The 27,721-nt window shown below is 44.6% G+C and overlaps 1 protein-coding gene across 1 annotated transcript in view, besides 1 other annotated feature; it reads right to left on the bottom strand.

Annotated features, from left to right (window-relative positions):
• The window catches only part of VAT1L (vesicle amine transport 1 like), a 191,544-nt gene that overhangs the window by 105,867 nt on the left and 57,956 nt on the right, over positions 1 to 27,721 (bottom strand). Inside the window, exon 4 of the mRNA NM_020927.3 lies at positions 11,351 to 11,493. Coding sequence (NP_065978.1) covers positions 11,351 to 11,493 — 143 coding nt within the window. The remainder of the gene's footprint in view (positions 1 to 11,350; positions 11,494 to 27,721) is intronic.
• Positions 21,918 to 22,419: an enhancer, noted in NCBI's record as "H3K4me1 hESC enhancer chr16:77885719-77886220 (GRCh37/hg19 assembly coordinates)". NCBI's record gives its function as "activates a minimal SCP1, AML or CMV promoter by ChIP-STARR-seq in primed H9 embryonic stem cells {active_cell/tissue: H9 hESC(primed)}" and the evidence as "EXISTENCE:reporter gene assay evidence [ECO:0000049][PMID:30033119]".

Genomic DNA, 27,721 nt, shown 5'->3' with positions numbered 1-27,721 from the left:
AACTGCATTTCTCCAAGACCTCTCCCCTTGCCTGCAGGATGCCCACCTGTGGTCAGAAGCAGCCTCACCAATATTAGGCCATGCATACCTCCTGCTGTACCCATGATGGGTCCGCCCAGCCTTGAATTTTTGTCCTCTGATGCCCCTCACATCTGCATTCTACTTGGCGGGCCACATTCTCTCCCACAAACTGCCAGTCATATCTCCTTGTATTAGTCCCACCTTGACCTGTTGCTCTGTCCGCTGGACTCTGGTTCTGCAGAGAAGCAGGGCATGTCCATAGCCAACAGTGGCCTATAAACTCCTGTGCACTTCCCCATCTTCACCTCCCACCCACAGCTCAAGGCATTTGGCCTTTTGATTGTCCCTAGAACTTTCTGACCTCAGGGCCTTTGCATGTGCTGTCATCTCTGCCTGGACAGCCTATCCCCTGCTCTCCTTAGAGCTGGCTCCTTCTCATCCTTCAGACCTCACCCACATACGATCTTTCCAGAGGACCTGTAACTAATCACTCCACCTAAAACGGATCTCCATTTTAGTTTCCTTTATGCTTTAATGTCTACACTGGAGATACTTTTTAGTACCTATCATAGGTTGTAATTATTTATTTATTGACTTTCTCTTCCACCAAAATTTAAGCCCCTTGGACCATGTTTGTGCTGCTTATGATAATATCTATGGCCCTTCTCTTCCTGTTGGATATAGTGTTGCTTCTCAAGAAATAGTGATTGACCAGAGGAATGCACAAGTGTTTCAATGAATGGGTAACTGAATGAATGAAAGATGATGAAGAAAACAGTTTAAGACTGCTATTCTGTGTCTCTATATGTGTGCTTCCTCGGAAAGGAAACTCATATTTCAGAGCTCTCCTATATAACAGCTATTTCATAATTAACCCTCACAAAAAGCCTATGAGGCAGGCATTTTAACTCCACTTTTAAAAAAATGAAATCACGGCTTACAGATGCAGCAATCTTGCCCAAGCTTACGTAACTAGCACAGCTGGAATTCAATTCTAGGTCTAGTTTAACTCCAGAGATGATGGCCTTTTCACCAGTCTGAGTTTAAGACTTAATAAATGTTCAAGCCAGTATTAAGTATGGAAGCATCACTTTAGCAAGCAGCTCTGAGAAGCAGCCAATTTAATTTAGTCTCTGAAAAATCCAGGCTTAAATTTTGTCTTGAAATAAATACACATACATTCAGAGTCTGATTACATTTGATCAAAGTTTGGCCTAGATCAAACATCTAGACCAAAAGATTTCTGTTTTCAAGCTGGTTTTCCCCGAGAGTTTATAGGAAAGACCCAAGTTCAGAGTCCCACAAATTTACCCTTAATTTCCAGCCACTGGATAACCATTTGCTGAGTGTTTACTACATGCTAGGCACTGTGCATGCTGAGTTGTGAATACACAGAGAAGGCAGAAGTTTGCCCTCACCATCCAGGAGCTCATGGTGTACAAGGACAGACATCTATAAATGAACCAAACACAGAGTGATCACTGCTCCAATAGAGCAACTTACGAGCATTGGAAGATGACCCTCTGTTGAGGGTTGGCAGCAGAGGGAACCAGAGGGAACAGGATGTGCAAAGGCCTTATGGTGGGAGGAAGACTGGGAAGCAGCCACTGTGGCTGGAGCATGAAAACAAAGGGCCGCTTGCTTTGAGGTTGGGCTGGAGAGGCAGGTGGGAGTTGGACCACACGGACTCTTGGTTGGTGGGCTTCAGGTTGGTGGTCAGGTCTTCACCTTGCATTATGGGCTGGGTAATTGCGTTCCTGTCTCCCTCACTTCTCCCCAGGTCTGTTTTCAGAGCAGAAATTGGCCAGGTGACAAAGGGAAGGCACTTCTCAGAGAATAGTATGATAGCTTGACCTAGGACAGTGAGAAGGCTTTGGGACACCAACCATGGCAATCAGGAGGCCTGGCCACTGACTCCTTGTAGAAGGACCCTAAGAATGGCTATCACAATCAACAGCTCACATGGAGGTGGGTACGCAGGGGAGAGGGGTGGCTCAAGGGCAACACAGTACTGGGCTTAGGAATATACATTTTATTTCAGTGTTAAGCATTCATTTCTGCTACTTACATGCTGTGTGACCTTAGGTGAGTTACTTAGCCTCTCTGTGCCTCAGTTTCCCCAACTGTGGAAGGGGATGATGGTGATAACACCTACATTTTCTTTATGAAGCTTGAATGAACTGATGCAAATGGAACACAGAGCCCAGTTCATGGTAAGCTCTGGGTCCATGGTAGCTTTGATTGATTACCATTTTTCAAAATGCCCCACCTTCAAGTCTTTTGGTTGGGAAAAGGGCATGAAAAGAAAGAGTACGCAAAACCTCTCCAACTCAACCTTCAGGGTGGGTGGAGACACCAGCCCAGAAATGACTGGAGCTGAGGCTTGATGCTCTTGACCTTCCAAAGAGAGTGTGCCACACTCTTGAGCAATTACTATGTCCCAAGTAGAATGCTAAGAAGTTCGTAAGTTTTTAATCATTGAGACTGGGTCTTGCTCTGTTATCCAGGCTACATTTATGCCTCATGCCAATCCTCTGACTCTGGGGCCATCATTATCCCCATTTGATAGACAAGGAAAATGAGGCTCAGTGAGGGTCAGGTGACTCACCCCTGGGCCCACTGCATAGAGTGGGAAGACCTTAGTTTGTTCCATCACATCTAGAAACCAGGCAAGGGCATCAAAGGTGAATTAGGGTTTCATAGGGTAAGTAGCGGCCAACCCTGAGGCGACCACCACTGTCACTTCTATGCCATGCAGGTACCTAGCAGGGATGAGAAAAGCTGGGGGGTGCTTTCTTGGGCTTAACACTAGAAGGAGACACTTGTGGGTCTCCTTCACATTCAGGCCACCTGCCCCCGTCCATGCCTCTCTCTCGGCATTTCTACAGTTGGATCACATGCATGGCTGGGGGTCAACAGAACCACAAATCCTCTCCTTCCTGCTGTCATTGCATCCTTTTGAAGGTCAGTGGTGGGGTGGAGGGTGGGAGGAGGTAGGGGAGGTGGATTCTGAGGGGGAGAAGTTGGGCAGAGGCAGATATCATTCTCAGCACCTGAGGGTGAGGATGCTTTTGCTCTTTCTGTCAAACCATTCCAGCAGCTATTGCTCCTTTCAAGGGTAGAAATGTTCCTTCGGGTAAGAATTTCAAAATTGAAAAGTGCTCCACCTCTGTTGAGTCCCTTCTATGACAGACCCCATAGAAAGACTGTACTGAACTGGATTCAGTTGGGTCTATTTAGAATGTTCCTGGTCCCATGAGCAGCCTTGGGACTGACCCTGCCTCAGTTACACCCACACTGAAAAGCGCTGCAGTAGCCCTTTTAATGAAATAATCATGAAAATCACAAGTGGAGCCGGAAGGCTCATCAGAGGAACAAAGACCATCTTCATCATTTCTGTGCCCCCTGACTCCGGTTTCTGGGGGTGTTCACCACTGCCTGCATATGTATGATTATTACATGAAAGCGAAGAAGGTGTGGCAGAAGGCCAAATGCAGCAATTCCTCTGTGTGCTTTTTCCTGCTGCCATAAATCTCTGCGGATTTAAAAAGCAAACACAAATAGCCCCAGCTCGGGGATTATATGAGCCAAATTCAGCAGTAAGATATTTCAGAGTTGCTGTTCCAAGACCTTCATGTCTGTCCTTCCTGTGTCCCCAGCCCCGGGCCCTGGATGGTGAATGCTGCCTCTTTCCTTCTTGCCCACACAGATTAGGGAAGAATTTCTCTTGAGTGGCAGTAGGTTCCAACAGAGGCGGTACTTAGAGAGAAACCCTTTGACCTTGCCAAGAAAAGTATTCCTCTTTATGGTGACTTTGCTCTCCAGCTGGGTCTTTGGCTCTCCACTCTGTTTTCTCTTTCTGAATCCCTTTTTCTGAGAACTCATCTGTGCCACAGCTTTAACCATCACAGGATGAGACTATTTCCGAGTGCCTGGCATTTAGTAGGCTTTGCACAGGGTGCCAAGCACCGTGCCTGGTACGCGATAGGCTTCTTATAGAGGACTGGACACAATGCCTACTCTACGGTAGGCTTCTTACAGAGTGCCAAGCACAGCACCCAGCACGTGACAGGTTTCTCACAGGGGGCCAAGCCCAGTGCTGATGTGTGGTAGGCTTCTTGGTAAGTGTTTACTATTAGTAGTTCCCATATGTACTTCGCAATACTACCTCCAGGAATGCCTTCTAGATCCCTTGGTCCCTATTCTTTCCAGGTGATTAGACTCTTATTAATTTCCACCAGTTTTAAAATAAGCTCCTATTATGTGCCAGGCATTGTGCTAGAAGTGCAGGAGTTCGGTCTGATCTCTGCCTTTTCTGATCTTATACTCCTTGGCTTCACCTATGACTGCTATCGGGTGAAGCAGATAGCAAGATTCAAGTCATTTTAACAATTAGCTGCTCCCCCTCGATCGGGAGTTTGATTCCTTCCTCTGTGGGCTTTGTGCTCCTTTGGCTAGAGATTGTGCTTTATCGCAGTTTCCTAACTTCCAGAGCCAGCTCATGTCAGTCATTTGGAAAATGCTCGAAGTGGGTGGTTTTTTTTAATCATTGAGACTGGGTCTTGTTCTGTTGCCCAGGCTGCAGTGCAGTGACATGCCCACAGCTCACTGCAGCCTCAAACTCCTCGGCTCAAGAGATCCTCCTGTCTCAGCCTCCCAAGTAGCTGGGACTACAGGTGTACACCACTACACCCAGCGAATTGTTTTTTAGAGATGGGAGTCTCATTATGTTGCCCAGGTTAGTCTCAAACTCCTGGCCTCAAGCTATCCTCCTGCCTTGGCCTCCTAAAGTGCAGGGATTATAGGTGTGAACTACCACATCCAGCCTAAGGGAGTGGCTTTGTACTCAATGGAGCTCCAGTCCCACTTTCCCTGGCCTGTTATGCAGGCCCCTGGAGTTCTCACTCTCACACTGTATTTATCTTGTCTAAAGGAAGTCATTACAGCTCCATTCCTCATTGTCTAACAACAACAAAAAGGAAAAGACGTCTTGGTCTCATCTTGCAGTATTTTCCCTAGTCATAGGTCATTCTCTCGTTCTCCTTCAAAATCTCTATAGGCACTGCCTCTCCCTTCCCCCTTCTGCTACTCATTCTCCTGATTTTGGAGATCTCTTCTCTCACCATTCCTGTACATGGCAGCCAGATCATTTTTTTTTTGTAGTTTCACCTTTCTGAACAGTGCTTAACTGCTTCAAATCTGCAAAGAACTCTACATTTCTGACATAATGCAATGTTTACTCCATTTAAGAGCTTTCAAGAGTCTCATCAATCTAGCCCTGTTCTCCACCAGGGTCTGCAGTCGTTTCATATTTTCATGACTTGAAGGGCAGGGGGGTGCCACTGGCATCTAATGGGTAGAGACCAGGGATGCTGCTCAACATCTGCAATGGACAAGGCAGCGCCACCGATAGCAGAATGATCCCAGCCCAAATGTCCACAGTGCTGAGGTTGGAAGCTCTGATCTAACCAAGCACCATCCAAGCACCTCACAAAACCACATGCTTTAATACAGGCAATCTGGCTTCCTCCCTGGCTGAGGAGCAAGCCGCCCTCACTTCCTTTGTGAGAGTCAGTGTGGGTGCTAGAAAGATCACAAGCTCTGGCACTACAGCCACCTGGAACTGAGTCCCGTCACGTCTATTTGTGTGATATTTACTTAACTAGGCTTGCCTTGCCTCCCTCTGAAAAATAAGCACAGTATTTACTTCATACAATGTGGAAGACCCAAAAGAGAGCTCCCATGTGTTCTTCAGGCTTCCATTTAGGCATTGCTCACCTGTGCCCCCACAGTGCTCTGTACTTCCCTATCAGCTGCCAACCCCATTGTCTTGCATGGGGATTTGCTTGTTTTGCTCACCATTGTATCTTCGTAGTCTGTTTGTAGGCCTCACTAATATAGATGGTACTCCATTTACAATGGTCTCACTTCATAATTTTTCAACTTTGTGATGTACCCATACAACTGTTCAGTTTCTCACTTTCAGTACAGTATTTGGTAAGCATTAAGAATCCTGAGTTGTGTATACCTGACTGCATACAACTCGAGGTTTTCAACACTTTATTGTAAAATAGGCTTTGTGTTAGTTTATTTTGCCCAACTGTAGGCTAATGTAAATTTAGGGTAGGCTAAGCTAAGCTATGACATTCAGTAGGTTAGGTGTATTAAATACATTTTTGACTCATGATATTTTAAGCTTATGATGAGTTTACAAGGATGTAACTCCACTTTAAGTTGAGAAGCATCTGTACAGAATAAATGAAAAAACAAAAGGTCTGAAATAATATTGTGTACCCATTTCCCACCCAATGTTTTGAAATGTTGTGTTTTGTGGGTTTTCTTTCTTTCTTTTTTTTTTTTTTTAAGATAGTCTCGCTCTGTCGCCCAGGCTGGAGTGCAGTGGCATAATCTGGGCTCACTGCAACCTCCACCTCCTGGGTTCAAGCAATTCTCCTGTCTCAGCCACCTGAGTAGCTGGGATTACAGGTGTGCACCACCTCACCTGGCTAAGTTTTGTATTTTTAGTAGAGACGGGGTTTCACCATGTTGGCCAGGCTGGTCTTGAACTCCTGACCTCAGGTGATCCTCCTGCCTCGGCCTCCCTAAAGTCCTGGATTTACAGGCATGAGCCACCAAAGCCTGGCCTTAAATATATTTTTGACTCATGATATTTTAAGTTTCTAATGGGTTTACAGGGATGTAACTCCATTGTAAGTCGAGAAGCATCTCTACATGAATGAATGAATGAATGAATGAATGAACAAAAGGTCTGAGATGATATTGTGTACCCATTTCCACCCAATGAAGTTTTAAAATGTTGTTTGATTTTTTTAAAGGCAGGTTTTTTTAATAGCTTTATTGAGATATAATTGACATACAGTAAACTGTACATATTTAAAGTGTACAATTTGGTGAGAGATTAAATATGTTCACACCTGTGAAACCCTCATCACCGTCCACGTAATGAACATATGCTTCACGCCCAAAAGTTTCCTTGAGTCCTCTTGTAAACCAAGAGGAGTTTTGCAGAATAGAAAGCTGACAGACTCACACACCTCCAAGGCCAAATCTGTTCCTACCTCTCAATTTCCTTATCTGTAAAATGAGGAATGTTCACCTTGCAGGATTGTCTCAGGTGCACAGAAAATGGTCTAATTGAACTCGTAGCAGGATGGCAGGAGAGCAACAAAGCGTGGCTATTATTATCTGCCCTGTTCTGTCCAAGATTCCCTTGTGTGGATTCTCTCACGCTTCCCCCTCCACCTACTGAAATCGATCGCAACCTTCAAGTGCACCTGAGGGGCTGTCCATCTTGACGTGCTCTCTCTGATCTTTCTCTTTTCCTTATTTGTAAAGCCCTTGCAGTTAGGTACACACAACTCAAGGTTTCTAACGCTTTGGCTTGGTTTCACTCATAATCATCTCTCTCCTCCTAAAGAGAGAGAAAGTAACGGATGTAAAGGTTAGGTCTGTGTCATAAATATTTTTTTTTCTATTCCCTTTACAACACCTGCCTCAAGGCTGAGAATGTGTTCAAAGGAGGCTTCCCGATTGACTGGCTTATAAAAGAGTTTTCATCTCAAGAAATTTTATCTTTTTTTTTTTTTCTGGTTCATTGTACACCTAATAGCGTAACAATATCTGTGATCAAAAAATAAAGAGAAATCACTCTGCATTCCACTCCTATCGCATGTTGGCAGTTGGATATTTTCCCTTTCCTTTCATTTTAAGTCTACATGCACCGAGAATTTGTACAAAGCTGTGATCACAGAGTAGATGGAATCTGGCATTCTGCTTTTTTCACGCAATGTGCTACCATGGGCATTTTTTTCATTTTGTGGCTGTCTTCATAATTATCATTTTTTAAGGGACTGCCCAATACTCAAGTATGTGGGTGTGGCATAATCGACTGAACTATTTCCCTTCTGTTGATTGTAGGGGCTTGTTCTGAATTTTCACTATTGCAGACAATGCTATAATTCACTCTGTCAACATGTGCTGAGCACTTACAATGAAGCAGAAGCAGGGTTTGGCTCTGCAACAGGCAGCCTTGTACCTGTAGCTTTGCTCTTCTTATTTCCTGAGGGTAGGTTTGCTAGGACGGAGGGTTGTGTAAACGTATCTGTAACTTCCTGGGCATTCTGAGTGTAATCCCAAGGTCTCTATTTAAAAACACAATGAATTGTGGGAAGTCACCTTTGAAGGAAGGTGAGGGTGAGGTGGGTCTCAAATGCCTTCTGTTCTTCTGACATCAGCAGACACCAGTGATGTGGGGGCTAAGAGAGTAGATCTAGGGCAGTGGAAAGATAGAGGATGGGAAGGATGCTGAGGAAATGGAGCAGGCAGGAGTTCTCTGGTTATGGGCTATTACTTTTTCAGAAGAGATGCCATCTCCCTTCTCTTCCCACTCCCCACATCCTGCCAGCTGCACTGGCCTCCTTTCAGGTTCATAAGTTCAGCAAGCTTTTCCTGATGTGGGATCCTAGCCCATGGCATCCCTGCTAGTCAGAAATGCTCTTCCTTTGGCCAACTTCTCATCCCTCAATTCTCAGCCAAAATCCCACTCTGCGATTGACAGTGTTTCTGATTTCTCCATCAGTAAGTATTCGATAGCACCTTGCATTTCACTACCAGAGCACATGTCGAAAATGTGAATCAGTTATTTCTCTTTATAGTTTTATTTTTTGTCCCCTCTCCCTCCGTTAAGACTCTATATTCCACAAGGACAGTGGCTCTCAAGATGGCATTGCTGGATCTCTGGCTCTGGCACAGTCTCCAGGCCATCACAGACACAAAGCACAGATGTATTAAGCAATTGTATTCATGCGTACATGAAAGAATGCTTGCAAAAATACACGTAAGGAAGTCAAAGAAACAATGACTGAAGGGACAACGATAGTTCATTTTCCAGACCACAGCTTAAGAGAGTCAAGTTAAAGATAGGAAGAACTGACCGGGCGCAGTCACACCTGTAATACCAGCACTTTGGGAGGCCAAGATGGGCGCATCACGAGGTCAGGAGATCAAGACAATCCTGGCTAACATGGTGAAACCCCGTCTCTACTAAAAATACAAAAAATTAGCCAGGTGTGGTGGTGGGTGCCTGTAGTCCCAGCTACTCGGGAGGCTGAGGCAGGAGAATGGCGTGAACCCAGGAGGTGGAGCTTGCAATGAGCCGAGATTGCACCACCGCACTCCAGCCTGGGTGACAGAGCGAGACTCCGTCTCAAAAAAAAAAAAAAAAAAAAAAAAGGATAAGAAGAATTACCTGAGAGCTATGGAACTGGGCAAATGGATGTCCTCAAAATTAGCCTGCAGCCTCTAGACATCTGAGAAACAGAGGGTCAACTTCTAACATCTAGCTTTAAGCTTTCCTTTCACATCCTGCTGGAACTATTGGGACAACCTTAAATTATATGCAATGCTCTGCATTCAAAATTGAAAAATAAATCTGAAAACTAAGACCATCAGAACCCCCTCCTTTTCAAGAAACTTCCCAAGTTTCACCAAATCTGTTCTAAAACTATCACCTCAAATAACCAGCTCTCCCATCCACTTGTCCTTCAGTTTTCCCATCTTAATCTGTGATTTGAAGAAAATTGTTTCCCTTTTGAGACAGGCTCTTGCTGTCTGTCACCCATGCTGGAGTGCAGTGGCATGATCTCAGCTCACTGCAACCTCTACCTCTCGGGATCAAGCGATCCACCCACCTCAGCCTTCTGAGTAGCTGAGACTACAGGCATGCATCACCATGCTCATCTACGTTTTGTATTTTTGTGGGGGGGCACAGGTAGAGATCGAGCTTCACTATGTTGGCCAGGGTGGTCTCAAACTCCTGGGCTCAAGTGATCTGCCCTCCTTGGCCTCCCAAAGTGCTGGGATTATAGGCATGAGCCACTGTGCCCAGCCTTGTTTCTTTATTATGATTCTATCTGGACAACGTAATACCTTTGTACGTAACAATTTTGTGTTGGAAAATGAGAATGCCGAAACAATGGCTCTGGCCCAAATCTGAATCCTCTCGGAAGCTCTGAGTGGCATGGACCCTGAGAACAAGCCTGGGGCCCAGAGCAATAGCCAGAGTGAGACACACAAAATCATCTAAAACCATGATGGCAGCTGGGTTTCCATCTGCTTCCCTGTGCTGACAAACATGTGGCCATGATCAATAACTTCAGAATCACAGGTTATAAACCATCATTCCCCCAGGTGACTGCAACAGCCAGCAAATGATCTTGCAGCCCCAGCCTCCCTCTACCCATCCATCCCCTCTGCACCACCAGTGATTGTTCAAAACTCAAATCAATCATAGCCCCATTTTAGTCTGTCAGTGGCTCTTGGTCACACCCAGGTTGGAGTCCACATTTGCTGGATTGGTGTACATGGTCTTTATGTGCATCTGATACCTGTCTCCTTGCTCAGCCTCACCTCATGCCCCTTCTTCCCTTTCCCCCCAGGTGTCCCTTTGCCAACACCTATAATTAGATGAGATAACAAGACATCCCTGGACTTGCACCCCAGTAAGCCTTCTTGTAGTTCTCCCAGCCTCTGAGGCTCTTGCATTCCTCAGTATGCATGCACACGACTTTCCTTTCCCAGAGCAGCCCCCTCCCTGCCCCTTTCTTCCTATGGATAATTCTGGCTCATGCTTCACTGTTCAGAGAGGTGCTATCTATACAGGAAAATCACGGGCTCCGAAGTTGAAATGCCTGGCTTGACTCCAGGCTCCACCCTTTACTGCCAGTGCCAGGCCTTTCTGGGTGCACCCAATGACAAGGTTTCTCAGTTTGCTTTCAGTAAGGCGTAGCCAACGACCTGAGCAGTAGTGCTAGACTATGAGAAGGGTGTGTGTTCTTTCTGGGACTGGCCCATAAAACCTCCTATTCATGACCCTTTGGTGCTGTCTGCCCATCTGTTGGCTAGAAGCAAAGGACCTTTAGACCCAAGACAATAGTGGAACCATAAGATGAAAAGAGCCTGGGTCTCTGAATGCTCTTACAGAAGATCATCCACCAAATATCCACCTTAAGCTATCATGTGAATGAATGAGAAATAAACTTCCATGTGTTAAGATGGTCAAATAGGAGCTAGCGTAACTTTAATACATTAACTTTCCAAGTTAGCCGATTCGTTCCTTGGTGATAATAGTGAGGTTAAGAGGATTAAATGAACTAATGCGTGTGAAATATTTGGCACAGAGCTAATAATACTAAGCCCCCAATATATGTTTGCTACATATTATTATTATCCCTCTTTTAAATAAGTGCTACTGCTCTTTGAGAGCAGAGCAAGGGCCAGCCTGGTGCTTTTTCAAAAGCAAACATCTTACCTTTTAACTTCTTGCACGTAGTCTGCATTTCTGTCAAAGAGGTGGGTCACAGAGTCTTTGATTGCTTCATGCTTGAAAGTAGAGGCTGTTCCAAAGACAGTCACGTTGGGGACAGTGGAACACAGCTGAGCCACAGCTTGACCCTGGAAGGAAAAGACAATAGCTATGTCACACATAGGAGCCACCAGATCATAGCCAGTCTTGCTGGGTGTAGAGCAGGATTTCTCCATCGGCACTATTGACTTTTTTTTTTTTTTTTTTTTTTTTAGAGATGGAGTCTCACTCTGTCACTCAGGCTGGAGTGCAATGTGCAGTGGTGCGATCTCGGCTCACTGCAACCTCTACCTCCTGTGTTCTAGCGATTCTCCTGCCTCAGCCTCCCAAGTAGCTGGGACTACAGGCACATGCTGCCATGCCCGGTTAATTTTTTGTATTTTTCGTAGAGATGGGGTTTCACCGTGTTGCCCAGGCTGGTCTCGAACTCCTGAGCTCAGGTAATCCACCCGCCTCAGCCTCCTAAAGTGCTAGGATTACAGGCGCAAGCCACTGTGCCCGGGGGGCCTTTTTAAGGTTGGATTAGTCTTTGTGGTAGGAGACTGTACTATGCATTGTCAGATGTTTAGCCCTCCAGGCCTCTACCTACTACATGCCAGTAGCATCCTCCCAGTTGTGACAACCACAAATGTATCCAGACATTGCAAAGTGTCGCCTTGGTGGAAGGACAAAATGTCCTGTGGTTAAGAATCACTGGCATAGAGGAAAGTCAATGGGAATCAGGCGAATCCAAGCACCAAGACTTAAAAACTGATATCTTACAATGCCACCTACTTCACAGCGCTCTTGCAGATGTCTTAGTTTGGGTACCCCAGAAGCCGAACCTAAGATAACGATTTGGATGTAGGTATTTTACCTGGACAATGATCTCCGGAAATAACAAGGTATTAAGACAGTAAAAGAAGGCAGCCAATAAAAGATGTGTTATCAAGGCCATATCTACCATGTGTAACTGGAGCTCAATCCCTCTGGGGAACCCTGTGAGCAAGTGTAGAATACGCCTCTGAGTTATCCCAACCATGAGCAAGGAAGCCGGAGTATTTATCCAGCACATTTGCATCTGATACTTGTTGAGGGCTGCTTCTGCAATAGTAATTCTTGTGCCTATCTGGCTTCTTCCAGTCAAGTGGGCTCCCACAGCAGACAGAAGTCCTAAGCAACCTTCGGCATGTTAAGTGCAGAAAAGATAGGATGTGGCTGACAGCATCTTCTACAGGGAAGTGTAAATAAGGTATTTTGCAACACAGGTCAAAGACCTGGCACAAAATGTGACACTTAGATAATAAATCCTAATTACCTTTCCCCCTTAGGGGCTTATTATATCCATTGCCGAGATGTCCAGGCATATAGAGAAGAGGTCAACACAAGTTTTAAATATTAAGTGGTCCAGGGGAAATCACAAATGCAGTTAGGAGCAGGTTTATTTTTCCATATCGTTTTTCAGTATGGTCAAACTTGAAGTCATTGGACAAAATGTTGTGGTCATGTATATTCAGGCATTTTCCAGTAAAACCCAGTTTTCTGGTAACTAAGGTGCATTCTAAAGCCAAGTGTTGTCTCTTTCTGGTGTTCCATCTGCCATTTTAAGGAGGGAAAATATTCTACCAGCGTCATCTGTGATGTTAATTTCTGCCTATCATCTTATTTTCATGTCTTCATGCTGGCGGACTAAATCAGGTTGGCAGGTCAATTTATGGAAATGTCATCTTATCACCCGTTGCAATTAAAGGCAACACTGAGAGAATCACAGAATGTCAGAGTTGGAAGATCATCCAATTACCCCCTCCCCTGACTGCTCTATAGATAAAGGAAAAGACATTCAGAAAGGTTAAGGTTACCCACTTTTTCAGAGGCAAATCTGGGATTCAAAGTAAGGTCTCCTGGTTTCCACTTATTACCACTTTCCATTGTTATGCTGTCTACTTATTTTGACATTTTAAGCAAAGCAGGCTTTAAACTTCCTACCTAAAATAGACATGTTGCTGGCACACTCCCTTGGAGGTCAACATTTCAGAATATGGGCATGAACCTGAGACTCTGGACAGGCTATAGTTTTCTGTCCTAAGAATAGCATTGATACTTGTTTAATTCTCCTGCCTTCTAGATTTTATAAAGCAAAGAGAGGACTATCTTTTCTAGGGAGGGTAAATATCAGCAACCAATGCAGCAATTCTCTAAAATTTGCTGGCCTCAGATATGTCATAGTTATAGCTCCTTATGGACAGCGCTTGAGATAACCTTCTTACTACTGGGATGGGAAATTACAATTAGTTCCAGTCTCCCTGTATTCCCTTCGCCCTCTGTCCTTAGGCAAATAGGATATTCATTTATTCATTCAACTATTTTTCAAATTTCTATTCTGTACTGGTTGCACTGTGCTATGAATGCCAGAGTGTCCAAAATGATTGGCATGTGTTAATCTCCGGTCCCAAGCTGCCCACTGAGTCCTGGACTTGGGTCTCTATCGTTTTGGCATTTGTCTCCACCTGGCTGTCCCAAAAGCGACACATCACACTCAACTGATCCAAAACCTAACTCGTGGCCATCTCTGAATGAGTTACTCCCTAAGTCAGTTTCCTAGTGCTGCTGTAACAAAGTTCTACTGACCCAGTGGCTTAAACATCAGAAATTCCTTTTCTCACAGTTCTGGAGGCTCAAAGTCTAAAATCAAGGTGTTGGCAGGGTTGGTTCCTTCTGAGGGATGTGAGCGAAAGATCTATTCCAGGCCTTTCTCCTCGGCTTGTAGATGTGCCTATTCTCCCTGCGTCTCTCCACGCCGTCTTCTCTCTATGACACTCTGTGTCCGAATTTCCCCTTCTCATAAGGACACCAGCCATATTGGATGAGGGCCCACTCCAGTGACCTCAATTTAACTCGATTGCCTTTGTAAAGACCCTATCTCCAAATAAAGTGACGTTGTGAGGTACTGGGGGTTAGGGCTTCAACATATGAATTTGGAGTGGTGGGGGTGGGATGCAATTTAACACTCCTCTTACTGTGTTTCCTGCTTCAGTGGATGGACTGCACCATTCCCCAGCGTTAAAGCCAGGAATCTGGGCAGCATCCTGGCCTCCTCTTCCTCCCTCAACCCCACGTCCCTATATTCAGAAACTGTGTTATCTCTTTGTCCTCGACAGCTCTTATAACTGTCTCTTCTTAGTCTGGATCATCACATTTCTCACCCTGGACTATGACAACACTCCTCCACCTGACCTGGCTGTTTCCAAAAGTCCTTCTGTGGTCAGAGTGACATTTCTCAAACACAACACTGAACATGTCACTATTTATTTTGGACTTCCCAATGTCCATCACAGCTTTCAGAATAAAATGCACACATCTAGTTTATCACACTAGACTGGCCCCTATTATCTGACCCAGTCTCCCCTCATTCACTTATTTCCTCCGCTTTTCCAATTTCTACTCCCTAACACACACCGAACTTCAGCCACCACAGTTAGCATTTGCCATGAGCATGGCATTGTGCAGCCCTCAACCCTGGCATTCTCAGAATGACCTTTCATCTTACTTTTGTTTGTTATTAGAGACAGGGTCTCACTCTGTCAGGTTGGAGTGTAGTGGTTCAATCATGGCTCACTGCAACCTTGAACTCCTGGGCTCAAGTGATCCTCCTGCGTCAGCCTCCCCAGTAGCTGGGACTACAGGTACATGCCACCACACCCAAATAGTTTTTTTTTTTTTTTGAGATGGAGTTTCGCTCTTGTTGCCCAGGCTGAAATGCAGCAGCACGATCTTAGCTCACCACAACCTCTGCCTCCTGTGTTCAAGCGATTCTCCTGCCTCAGCCTCCAGGGTAGCTGGGATTACAGGCATGTGCCACCATGCCTGGCTAATTTTGTATTTTTAGTAGAGACGGGGTTTCTCCATGTTGGTCAGGCTGGTCTCGAACTCCTGACCTCAGGTGACCCGCCCGCCTCGGCCTCCCAAAGTGCTGGGATTACAGGTGTGAGCCACCAAGCCCAGCCTTTTTAAAATTTTTTTTTGTAAAGATGGGGTCTCACTATGTTACCCAGGCTGGTCTAGAATTCCTGGCCTCAAGTAATCAATCTTGGCTTCCCAAACCACTAGGATTACAGGCATGAGCCACTGTGCCCAGCGTCACCTTATTTTACTGAGGAAGAAGCTGAGGTTTACAGAGGTTAGATGTCTGCTCCAACACCACTAGAGTAACAGCTTGATCTGCTTCACTCCTGGCTGCCACACATACCAGCTGAGCAACGTATTGGCACCTCTGTTCACTCGTCTAAAATATTTGGTTAGCAATACTCTACACAGTCTAGGTTTACTGTGAGATTACGTGATATAATGCATCAAAGTGCCTAGAACAATCAATGCTCAATACATACTTGCTATCACTACTCCTAAGTCCTCTCTTACTATTTTTCTTGGTCTTATTACATTTGCAGTAGCAGCATATCTGCTATCCTGCTATCAGATCCTGCGTGACTATGCTATTTTAGCATCAACGCCAGTTTCCCCACATGCTTTCCCCCTTCTCATTATGCCCTCCCTTCCTCTTTCTTCTTCCAATCAGGGCTATTCCCACTCAGTCATCTCCATCCCCAGGAATCCTTTCCAGCATCCCAGATAGAGTTGGTTGCCCCCTTTTGTGCCCCTTTGACTTGTGGTTCTTTTCTCCCGAAGCGTGACCACCACGGCCTCTGTGGCTTCTGCCTGCCCCATCTGTGAGCTCTGTGGGGGCAGGGACTGTGTCTCCACCGGCCCTCTGCTCCTGTGCCCAGTGCAGAACCTGGCACATAGTAAATGTCTGGTAAAACTTGGTGGACGGATGCATGAGAAACTGGAGGAGTTGAGTGTATGGGGGCAGCCCTTCCCAGTCGTTTTGCAGCCTTCATGTCCTTTAGTGTTGTAGAGTTGGAGTAAAGCGTGCATTTAATTAACCTATGCAGGTTCTGACTGAAGCAGAACTTCACTATTTCTATTTTAAAGAAAAACATGCACATGGTTAAAAAAAAAAAAAAGAGAGAGATAATATAGGTAATCCAAATCACTTATGTACTTATATTATTATATAACATATAATATGTGAGTATTAGATAATGGATAAATATATGACTTATAACTAGAATAATGTACAATTAATATATATAGCCATGATGTGTATATGTATAATTATATATACATAATATATACTATCTATTTAATAAGTAATAGAGAAATAGAATTACTAATAACACAATTAAGATTAGTATGCTATGTGAGTATTATGTATAATATATAATAATCTATACTTTTATATAAAGATTAATGGATGGAAAACACAAATTCATCACATATCTACTTGCGGCCTTTCTGTTCTCCATCACCTGTCTTAGGCAATGAGAGGCCCTGGTAACATTTTCAATAAATTTTAAATAATGCTTAGCATTCTGTATTTAAGCAGAAAAGTGCCTTCCCACACATTTATAGAAAATCTGTATTCTCCCTTCTCCAACTCCCGAGGTGAATGCAGGATCAGCAGCTCATTTATCCTCATTTCTCCTACGTGCCTAGCAAATAGCATGGACTCAATAACATTTGTGGAAGACAGAATGAACTTTCAATAAAAAGGACCTTGCAGTTTACCTCCAGAACCAGAACATAAAATGAACAAGACAATCCATTCTCCCAGTCACTGCAGTAAATGACGATTTGCATGCGCTTGTTTTTAATGGATTTTCCTTCCTTCTTTTGAACGTAAGAATTCTGCACCACATCTGCCCTTCTCTTCCCTTTGGCTAACAATACAGCATTAATAGCAGCTGCGGCTTCTTTTGTCCCACCATGGGGCAGATACTGTACTAAGGTGCTTCGTTAAATCCTTAAACCACCTTTAGTGTAAGTATTTGTGTCTTCTTTTCATACGTAAACATGGGGATTCAGAGAGAAAAGGAAAGTTCCCAAGGTTACCTGGCATGTGAATGAGAAAGCTGGAAGTCAAATGCAGGTATCCGTGACTCCAAGGCCACTCTGCTATTAATCTTCTCATCTGTGCAGCTAAGCCCTCGAGTTGCCATCTTAGAGACAACTTCGGGTCTTTGCCATCAATTACTCTTTGGATGGCTTTGTCTCAGGTTCATATGGGCGAAGAGATTTTCAACCAGATGTTAATCAACTCAATCCTTATTGCAGAGCTGCTGGAGTCTCCTTAATCAGAGCACAGGCAGCAGGGAATCCAGGGACTGTGGTAACAAGGGAGCTGATTTAGGTCCCTGAAATATATGACCCTGATCGACAGACTGGCAGTTTAAAGCAAGATCATATTCCAGCATGTAAACGAATGATTAGAGGAGTGAATTCATCTCTTTAAAGGCTTACTACACTGCCTGGTACATATTAAGTACTGAGTAAGGAGCAGTTTTTAGCTATAACAGTTTTGAGATTGGGATGGGGCCCAGTTGAAATTCTTTTTACCCATTAAGTGGGAATTTAGGCTAGATGAGCCTACCAGTGCACTGAGATTCAGGATTTAGCATCAGAAACTCAACTAAGTAAGGACAGAGAATGGATGGCTTAGGAAAATGTCTATAATGTAAATACTGTCTACTCCTCCAGCCTTGTTTCTCACTGTATTCCAGAACTCTACCTTGACCACAAGGAAAAACAATCAGTTCTTCCTAAGTGCCACCCTCTCTTTCACTGTAGGATCTTTGCACATACAATCCCCACTGCTTGGAATCCTCTTTCCTGTCTTTTCTCCCGGTTTATTCCTTATATCCTTTGAATCTCAGCCTCTCTGTTACTTCATTGAGTCATTCATTCTATCACTACAGTGTTTTTTGTTTGTTTGTTTGTTTGTTTGTTTTGACGGAGTCTTCCTCTGTTGCCAGGCTGGAGAGCAGTGGCACAATCAGCTCACTGCAACCTCCACCTCCTGTGTTCAAGCAATTCTTCTGCCTCAGCCTCCCAAGCAGCTGGGACTACAGGTGCCCGCCACCATGCCCGGCTAATTTTTGTATTTTTAGTAGAGATGGGGTTTCACCATGTTGGCCAGGATGGTCTCAATTTCTTGACCTCGTGATCCGCCCGCCTTGGCTTCCCAAAGTGCTGGGATTACAGGAGTGACTACAGTGCTATATAATGAGCATCTCTACTGGATCAAACATTATCAGAGGTGCCAGAAATATAAACGAGTTATTTATGTATATGGTCCCTGTCTTGGAACTTGCATTGTAATGAAGATGACAGACATTAATAAAATAAATAAACCATTAAAGTACAATTATATTCCTAAACCATGAGAATGAGAGCACCAATTCCACTGAACCACTAGCAAAAGACTGCATTGGTGCACTATGTTTTTGGACATATGCAGACAATGAAGGGCATGCATTAAAGTGGAGTGTGTGGGCATGTCGGGGGAGATAGATAAGGAGAAGGAAAGGACTCACCTGTGGTCAAGTTTCTCAAATGGGTTGTGTGACTAGGGGTAAGCTCATGTCTCTGTGCCTTGATTTCACTTTTTTTTTTTTTTTTTCTGAGATGGAGTCTCGCTTTGTTGCCCAGGCTGGAGTGCAGTGGCACGATCTCGGCTCACCGTAACCTCTGCTTCCCGGGTTCGAGCGATTCTCCTGCCTCAGCCTCCTGAGTAGCTGGGACTGCAGGCACGTGGCACCATGCCCAGCTAATTTTTGTATTTTTAGTAGAGACGGAGTTTCACCATATTGGCCAGGCTGATCTCAAACTCCTGACCTCGTGATCTGCCTGCTTCAGCCTCCCAAAGTGCTGGGATTACAGGCGTGAAACAGCACGCCCAGCGGTTTCACATTTTTAAAATGGGAACTTGGACTTAATGATCTCTGTGGTCTCTTCAGTTCTAAGATTTCTTGATCACATTGACTAGTTATTTAGCTGGGCCAAAAACAGTGTATTTGGAGAAATCTCCCAAAAAGTATGAAGGTTGAGTCCCTGTACCAAGTTTGATGAAAATGGAACTTTCTGTTACTAACTTGACCATTTTCAAGATCATCTTACAAAAAGAATTTTGTATATCTCTTCTAAAAGTTGTTTTCACTGTTAAACAGCTCATGAAAACCACAGATCATTAATGTAGTCAAAGAATGGAAATGAATTAGCAGAATGAGCTTGTGAATGTTCGGAGAAGAGACTTGGAGGAGATGGTGAGGTAAGATTTTCTTCTTCCAAAGATTGTCAGTTTATTTTTTCATCTTCATCGACGCATAGAGGTACTTAGATGAGCAAAAATAACTGAAAATTATCACAAAATCAAGTACATTGGATGCATGAGCCATACTTACGTTTTTCTTACAACAATACAAGCTCCCACATTGAGGTTTAGACACAGAGTCAGAAACATTTTTTTCAGATCACGCTGTCATTTGTCTGCTCAACAATTCAGTGACTCAATTGTTGTAAGAAGAGGAAATTCAAACTCCACTGTGTGGGCTGATCCATGTGACCTGCCACCAAAGGCAGCAAAGACTATTCTGTGTTCTCACCTACAATGCTTCAAGCATCAGTCAGTTTTTCTTTTTCTTTGTTTGTCACTGCAAAGCTGTTGACCTACACGTGATATGCGCTGTGACACACAGGTGCCGAGAATTTCAATGGCAGGAGGTTACAGGGGTGCATGGCTGAGATAGGAGAGAGGGAAGAAAAATGGAAAAGAGTGGGACAGGCATTTTTCAATTGCTCAAAATATAAGTATGGGCAATTTTTTTTTTTTCGTTTGAGACAGAGTCTCACTCTGTTGCCCAGGCTGGAGTGCAGTGGTGCGATCTTGGCTCACTGCAACCTCCACCTCCCGGGTTCAAGAGCTTTTCTTGCCTCAGCTGCTCAAGTAGCTGGGACTACAGGCACGTGCCACCATGCCTGGCTAATTTTTGTATTTTTAGTAAAGGTGGGGTTTCACCATGCTGGCCAGGCTGGTCTCGAAATCCTGAACTCTCCTTGGCCTCCCAAAGTGCTAGGATTACAGGTATGAGTCACGGCGCCCGGCCTCATTTTTTTTTAATCCCCAAAAGAAGTAGGCATATTCTTTGAGAAGACTTGGTGGACAGTGTCTTATTTTTTTCTCTTTTATTCATTGTATGGATCCGTGCTTCTCAGTGTGTGGTGCCAGAGCCAGCAGCCTCAACATCACCTGGGGACTTGCTGTAATGCAGATTCCCAGGCTCCAACCCAGACTTATGGAATCAGAAACTTCCAGGATGGGGCCCTGCAGCCTGAGTTTGAACAGGCCCTCTAGGGGATTCTGATGCAGCTCAAGCTGAGAATCACTGACATAAATCATCATGGTAAATCACTGGCACATTCCCTGTGATTTAGAGGAGAAAGGCCCCATGATGCTCACAGTATCTGATAATCAGGTATTTTATTTAAAACCTGGATGTGGCCTGACTATTCGTATATAATTATACATTCCCTGGAGAATTCTAATGTGCTGACGGCGCTGAGATCCACTGCTCTATAAAGGCATCCTTCTAATTTGCTCAATTATGGCATTGTAGCAATCCACTTCCTCTTTTCCTAGTTGAGGCTGACATCAGAGTCCATGGGTTTAGTGTGTGGGATCCTGTAGATCAGGGCATGACCAACACAGTCTTCTGTGATCAGAGAAGTAGGAAGAGAAAATAAGCCCCCATCCCCATTAGCAGGCTCTGAGGCTCTTGATGCTTGGCCACGGTGCACCGGGTTTTCCTAGCCTGTCACAGCTCTGCTCCAGCAAGTGACTGGGAAGATGACAATTTAAACCTTTTCTTCTACTTAGACTGCTCTGAGCTCATTGCAAAGGTCCTGGATTAAGAAGCAAGTGAGGCAAAGTGGTGAAGCATATAGGTTGATTCATTCAACTCCAGCTCCACAGAGTTTACTGTGTACCTGGCAGGGCTCAACATACCCTGTAAATAATAGCTCATTCGATCCTCATCACAACCTTTATGAGGTAGGTACTAGTTCATCCTCATTTCCCAGATGGAAGAACCGAAGCACAGAGAAGTTAGGTAACAGCCTACAGTCACACAGTAATACCAGGGAGAAGATCTGAATCCAAGTAGTATGACTCCAGCTTCCACAATTTAACCACTGCCTTATGCTGTAGGACAGTTGTGGATCTGTAGGCCAAAAGGAGAGAAGGAAGGGGAACCACCTCTTCCTGGTAAGTTACGCTTTGTCAAGCACTATGCTGGGTACTTTACACACATCTCATTCTATCCACCCAACATCATATTGCCATCTGGAAGAAAGGCTCGGAAAGAGCAAGGGAACTTAGAGTAATCTTGCCAGGATCATTGGAAACTGAGGCTCAGAAAGTCTAAGTACTAGCAACTGGAAGTGGTGAGGTTTAAATGCAAGGGGCCTTATTGCTAAGCCTGTGGGGACAGGACATGTTCGTGAAGTGATCTGGCAACAATGACTCCCACTCCCCACATAAACTCAGCTGCCAGCCAGTGCCCGAGACGCCTGATCAGATCCCCCTCAGCTGGGTTTCCTGACACCCCGTCCTCACGGAGCACAGCAGGCAGCTTCAGGATCAAGGGTGGGAGGGAGGTGACTTTTGCTTTCCCAAAGCTTCTCCTAGGAGGTGGCTCCATGAGCCCGGGCCTACGGGATGACACACCAGTGACAGCCCCTCCTCTGCTCTAGCTGAGAGAGAGAGGTCAGTCCACTTTCACCTCATGGTATGTTTGAGGGTCAAGCCAGCACAGTTTTGTTGTTTGAGCAATAAGGACGGGCAGCCCCGAGATTGGGAGGGGGAGAGGAGCACTAGTATGGCCCTGGAGGAAGAGACTGTGGGAGATCCCCGCTTTCAGAACAAGACCCAAAGCAAGCTAGCTCTGAAGGGAGCCTTGAACACGCAGGAACAGAAAACCTGAGTTCTGATCCTGCTCTTGCCATTTCAGGGCTCTGTAGCTTACGCCCCTCAAATGTACAAGAAGGACAGGAGCAGAATCTCCGAGGGTCCTGTGTGATGGCGCTCAGCACTGGGGAAACACGACAATATGGACTTTGGAGTCAGGCAAACCGGAGTTTGCAGCCTAGCTATGGCACTGACAGGCTGTGTGACTCTGGAAAGCTACTTCATCTCTCTGAGCCTCAGCGAACTCACATGCAAACAGGTTAGCATACTTAGTACAGTGCCAAGCATAGTGGATGCTCGGTAGATTATAGGGCCCTGCTCTCTCTCTCTCTTATTATTATTTTTTTAATACAGGTTTTCAATCTGTTGCCCAGGCTGAGGTACAGTGGCATGATCATAGCTTGCAGTAAACTCAAACTCTTGGTCTCAAGCGATCCTCCCACCTCAGCCTCTCATATAGCTGGAACTACAGGCACTTGCCACCATGTCTGGGTAATTTAAAACAATTTTTTTTGTAGAGACAGGGTCTCACTATGTTGCCCAGGCTGGTCTCGAGCTCCTGGCCTCAAGCAATCCTTTCACCTCGGCTTTCCAAAGCACTGGGATTACAGGCATAAGCCACCGTGCCTGGCCAGCTCTGCTCTTCTTACTCTAAAGACTGTATCATTCCATGTTATGGTCTTCGGTTTACTAATTCCAGGTTAAATAGCTTTTTTCACACCCTCTGGGATTTCTGATTGTCAGTGGCAGGGCAGGGTTGGAAAGGTTCAATCTGTAACCATAGCTGCCCCTGCTCTACCCTACCACAGTTTTGTGTGAATTAGAAAGACGGGCTAGTATCTGTTGCCGGGCAGAGCTGTGAGCCCTAGCAACTAGAGTGTGGCCATCTCTTGCTTGCCCCACAGTTTGGTGTTTCTGTGCAGTGTGCAGCCTGTCCAACCGCACATGGCAACTCTGCTAATCAACCCTTGTAGAGACCATAGCAAGGCTTGTGTCTGTCATCAGCAATACTCTCCAAATGAGGGGCACCATGCATGGCCACAGGACAACCCATAGCCCACAGACTGACACACTGTTTGAGAGTTGGACTCCAGCAACCGTGGAGCCGTCCAGTCCACCAGATGGCAAAGTCCCCTTCACAGGGCTCTAAATCAAGGAGTGCAGGAGTATTAGAGTCACTTCCAGGCTGGCTGCCTTCCATGTAGTGCATTTGGATACATTTCCTGGATGACTGTATTTGCATGGTGGGATGCCGGATTCTCATTTCCAGCCAAATTACAATTTGCACCCACAGTTTGAAGTTGTGGTTTTGATAAATGCGTCTCTTTCAACCAAAAGAAAACAAAAACAAAAACAAAAAACCAAACGACTCAAACTACTATTGTGTAGGGTGCCCATATAATTTATTATCTAAATTGGGACTCTTTTTGAGAATGAAAGGGGATGCTATTATTAATTCCCCTTGATCAACAGGCATAAACTGTGTCTTAGGCAAATAGGGTCATATAGTCATCCTAATATTAAGTCAAGGAAAATAATTAATAGGGTGGCCAGGAGAGAAGGGCAGAGGGGCAGCATCAGTGGGACTTGGATTCTGATCCTTGGATCTACTGCTAAGCACCTGAGGGAACTTGACCTGGTTACTCTGAACTGATAGCCTTAGCTATAAAGTTGGGATGATATTACCTACCTCACCAGGTTACCATGAGTGTACAACAGAGAAGTGTGCATACAGCCTTACACGGAATCAAACACAAAGTGGGGGCTTAGGAGATGTAAGCTCATGTCCCCTACTCCTGTCTTTACCCATCTCCTACAATGCCTGTACCCTACACACGGGGATTTGTACACCAGCATGCAGCAGTGCCTGGCAGAAAGCAAAGGCGTTTACTTGGGACTATCGTGTTCACAGCTCAGCAGCCTGCCTTCCTGCCTGGCACGCGTGTCCATGTTTGCTGGAGGCACCTCATTAACAAGGCCTCTCAACAGGAACAGGAGCCTGACCTTGGTTTCAGCACCTTCTGATGTGATCAACAATTCCATTTCAAAGTACCTGCCCTGAACATGAATGACTCAAACGCTCAAATCATTGCTCCGTTTCTGCCAGTCCTCAGAGATCAGACATCGGGACTCTTTCTGTGACTTCAGATCCTGCGGCTGAGGTTCTGTTCTGGGCGGGACAGGACCCATCACAGCTGGAAGGTGACATCGGAGGCTTCTGGATCAGAGTACGTTTTAACTGTCAGTCTTGTAGGGAACTGGAATGCAGTGGCCAGGTCTCCAGATAGAAATTCCTACTGGGATGTTTAGTTCTATTCATTTCACCTTTGCCACCTTTCCATTCTCAGACCTGCCTTCTTTGTAGGACAGGACCCTTTTCAAAGCTCTATGTCCCGCTGTTTCCTATCAATGACAAACTTTCAAAGTTAACTGGCTTTCTTTGCGAGTGTAGTAAGAGTAAAATTATTTCACTGTTAATATTGTTTACCAAGCCATCCCCCTTGCTCAAACACTGGTATCACTAGGACCACTGCTGTCATCAGTGACCTCTTATCTGGAGCCCCTGGTACACAGCCAGGCATGTAGAATTTGTTCATAAAAACATGGAGATGAATGAATGAATGGATGAACGAATGATGATTTCTTCACATTTTCCCCTCCTTTGACATCTTAGTAATGCAACGCCCTGTTCCTTTCATGGTATGCTCTCTGTCTCATAAATTTTGCACATTTGTTTCTTGTTTCATTCAGTGGACATTTATGTGCCACGTACCTAAGTGCCATGCACTGTGCACCTACTTTTTTTTGTTATTATACTTTAAGTTCTGGGATACATGTGCAGAATGTGCAGGTTTGTTACATAGGCATACACGTGCCATGGTGGTTTGCTGCACCCATCAACCCATCATGTACATTAGGTATTTCTCCTAATGCTATCCCTCCCCTAGTCCGCCACCCCTTGACAGGCCCTGGTGTGTGATGTTCCCCTCCCTATATCCATGTGTTCTCATTGTTCACCACCCACTTATGAGTGAGAACATGTGGTGTTTGGTTTTCTGTTCCTGTGTTAGTTTGCTGAGAATGATGGTTTCCAGCTTCATCCATGTCCCTGCAAAGGACATGAACTCATCCTTTTTTATGGCTGCATGGTATTCCATGGTGTATATGTGCCACATTTTATTTATCCAGTCTATTATTGATGGGCATTTGGGTGGGTTCCAAGTTTTTGCTACTGTGAACAGTGCCCTATACTGGGTAGGTTCTGGGAACATGAGGTGGCATGTTCTAGAGGCAGACCATCTGCGGAAGTACCCCTGATCACGTTTACTGGATAGCTGGCGTTGGGCAAATCACATAAGCATTCAGAACTTTTGTTTTTGTCGTTTTTGCCCCTGTGCATGGTAACCGTGTCTCCTGAAGGTGGGTGTAAGGAGTAAAGGAGATGACCTCAGTAAGGGCTTAACACCCTGCCTGGTACCAGCTAATATTAATGGTAAGGACTTCAACTCCTTACCTGTCTCTCCAGCAAGATCATGGACCAGGCATAGTCCCACATGGGGCAATCCCACATGGGGGGCCAAGACAGAGGCAACGTGACGAGCATTGAAAACACAGCTCTGGAGACTCTTAGGACCTAAAATGTCCTTGAGTCATCCACTCCAACCTCCTACCTGGTGCAAGAGGAGCTTCCTGACTCAGCTTCCTCCTATAATATTTCCAGGATGAAAACTAATGAGGTGGAAATGGAGCACTAATTGCCTCTCTAGTCAGCCCGTTCTATTTTGAGGCACCTCTGATTGTTAGAAGGTCTTATTTAGAATATGCTGTCCACAGCCTTCCTGTAAATTTTGCTCTTAGGAAGCATGACACACAAAACTATAGGTTTGTATGTCTCATATCCCTTCTTACTCCCTGTTGATATTTCCACAACGTTCCTGCACCGTGGATCTTCTCTTTTCCAATCTGAGCATGTTTAATCCCTTCAACTCTTCTCTTTGGCAAATGGCACTACGTCCAGGGGACGGTGGCCTGGAAGGTGATAACCCTCTTAAACGTGGCACAGCAGAACCATCTCCTTCCACTTGAACATCAGCAGTTCTTGATATTTCTTTGTTGACAGCCTACTTTTGTATAACACAATTTTTGGGTAGCATACTTGACTGATAAAAATTCAAATAACACTAAAAATGCAGGCAAGATTACATTGCCATTCACAACCACAGCACAACAACATCTCACAGTCTCTACAGTGACACTTACTGTCACTGACACTTGGTTTTGCCACTCGACTTTAGAACTTCTTAGTGGTCTGACCTGGCCCTTTTGATGCATGTGCACAAGAAGAATTTCTTACATGGTCCAGTGAAAGGGTGATCTTCCTCAGGCAACAGCCTCAATTTAGTACTCACAGCAAGTGGTATTGCACGTCACACTGCATTTTTGAGCTCTATCATGTCCACACTCTGATGGACAGGCAGGACATGCATATTCAGTTGTACCAAAAATGAAATGCACCCATGGGTTAAAATATGGTGGTGCACTTTGCCGAAGTTTTGAAGTACACAGCTAGCACAGGATGAGGGCAATACGTTTCCAGGACCACAGGTTTATACGTCAGAAGCACGGGAAGACCGGGGGAGAGGTGATTATTTTGGTTTCTGTCTCCCTTCCTCCTCTCATACACCTACTGCTTTTGGCCACTATTTAGTGGTTGCAGGTCACAATCAACAAAAGAAGTAAAGGCACATCAGTCATAGTTTAAGAGCTTTTTTTTTTTTTCCTGCTTTCTCATTTCCAAAAAGCTCTTGGCCTGACTGAAAGCAATTACTTCTCCAAGAGCAGCAAAAACTCTGAACATTTTAGTAAGTTCTCCTGATACACTTAAACATCAGAGAATGAAATGCTGCATTTTGCAGAAGGACCTACTCTGACCTCTACTAAGCTCTTTATAAAAAGTATTATTATGAAAGCAACACATTTATGCCATTGTAAATCACGAAATCTGGAAAATACAGAAAACTATAAAAATGTCAACTACAATGCCATATCTCAGAGATACTCTAAATAATTTGGCTTATTCTGTTACAGTAGTTTTCTAATATGTATTATCAATAATTTTTTTTATCCACAGAATTGGAATCACACTGAATACACCACTATATACCCTGATTATCTTTTTCTTTCTAAGCTTACATTGTGAGCATTATTGTGGGTAATGACAAATTATTTAACACCCCATTTTGAATGACTATGGAATATTCTATTATATAGATATACCATAATTCCTTTTAACCAACTATCTGACAAGAAATTATGGTGTTATAGTATTATAAACTGTATTTCAGTGAACATTTTTGTATAAGTATCTTTGATTCTAAGTTTCAGAAGCCAGAGTCTAAGTCCATCTTACCTATGACTGTATACTTTGTGTCTAGCTCATTGCTGGAAGAACTGCTGATGCTCAATGTTTGCATAGAGAC

The sequence above is a fragment of the Homo sapiens genome, chromosome 16 (genome assembly GCF_000001405.40).
Source record: "Homo sapiens chromosome 16, GRCh38.p14 Primary Assembly".
NCBI classification, from domain to species: domain Eukaryota; kingdom Metazoa; phylum Chordata; class Mammalia; order Primates; family Hominidae; genus Homo; species Homo sapiens.
The sequence above is the reverse complement of the archived record's forward strand: the minus strand, read 5'-3'. Positions and strand labels throughout refer to the sequence as shown.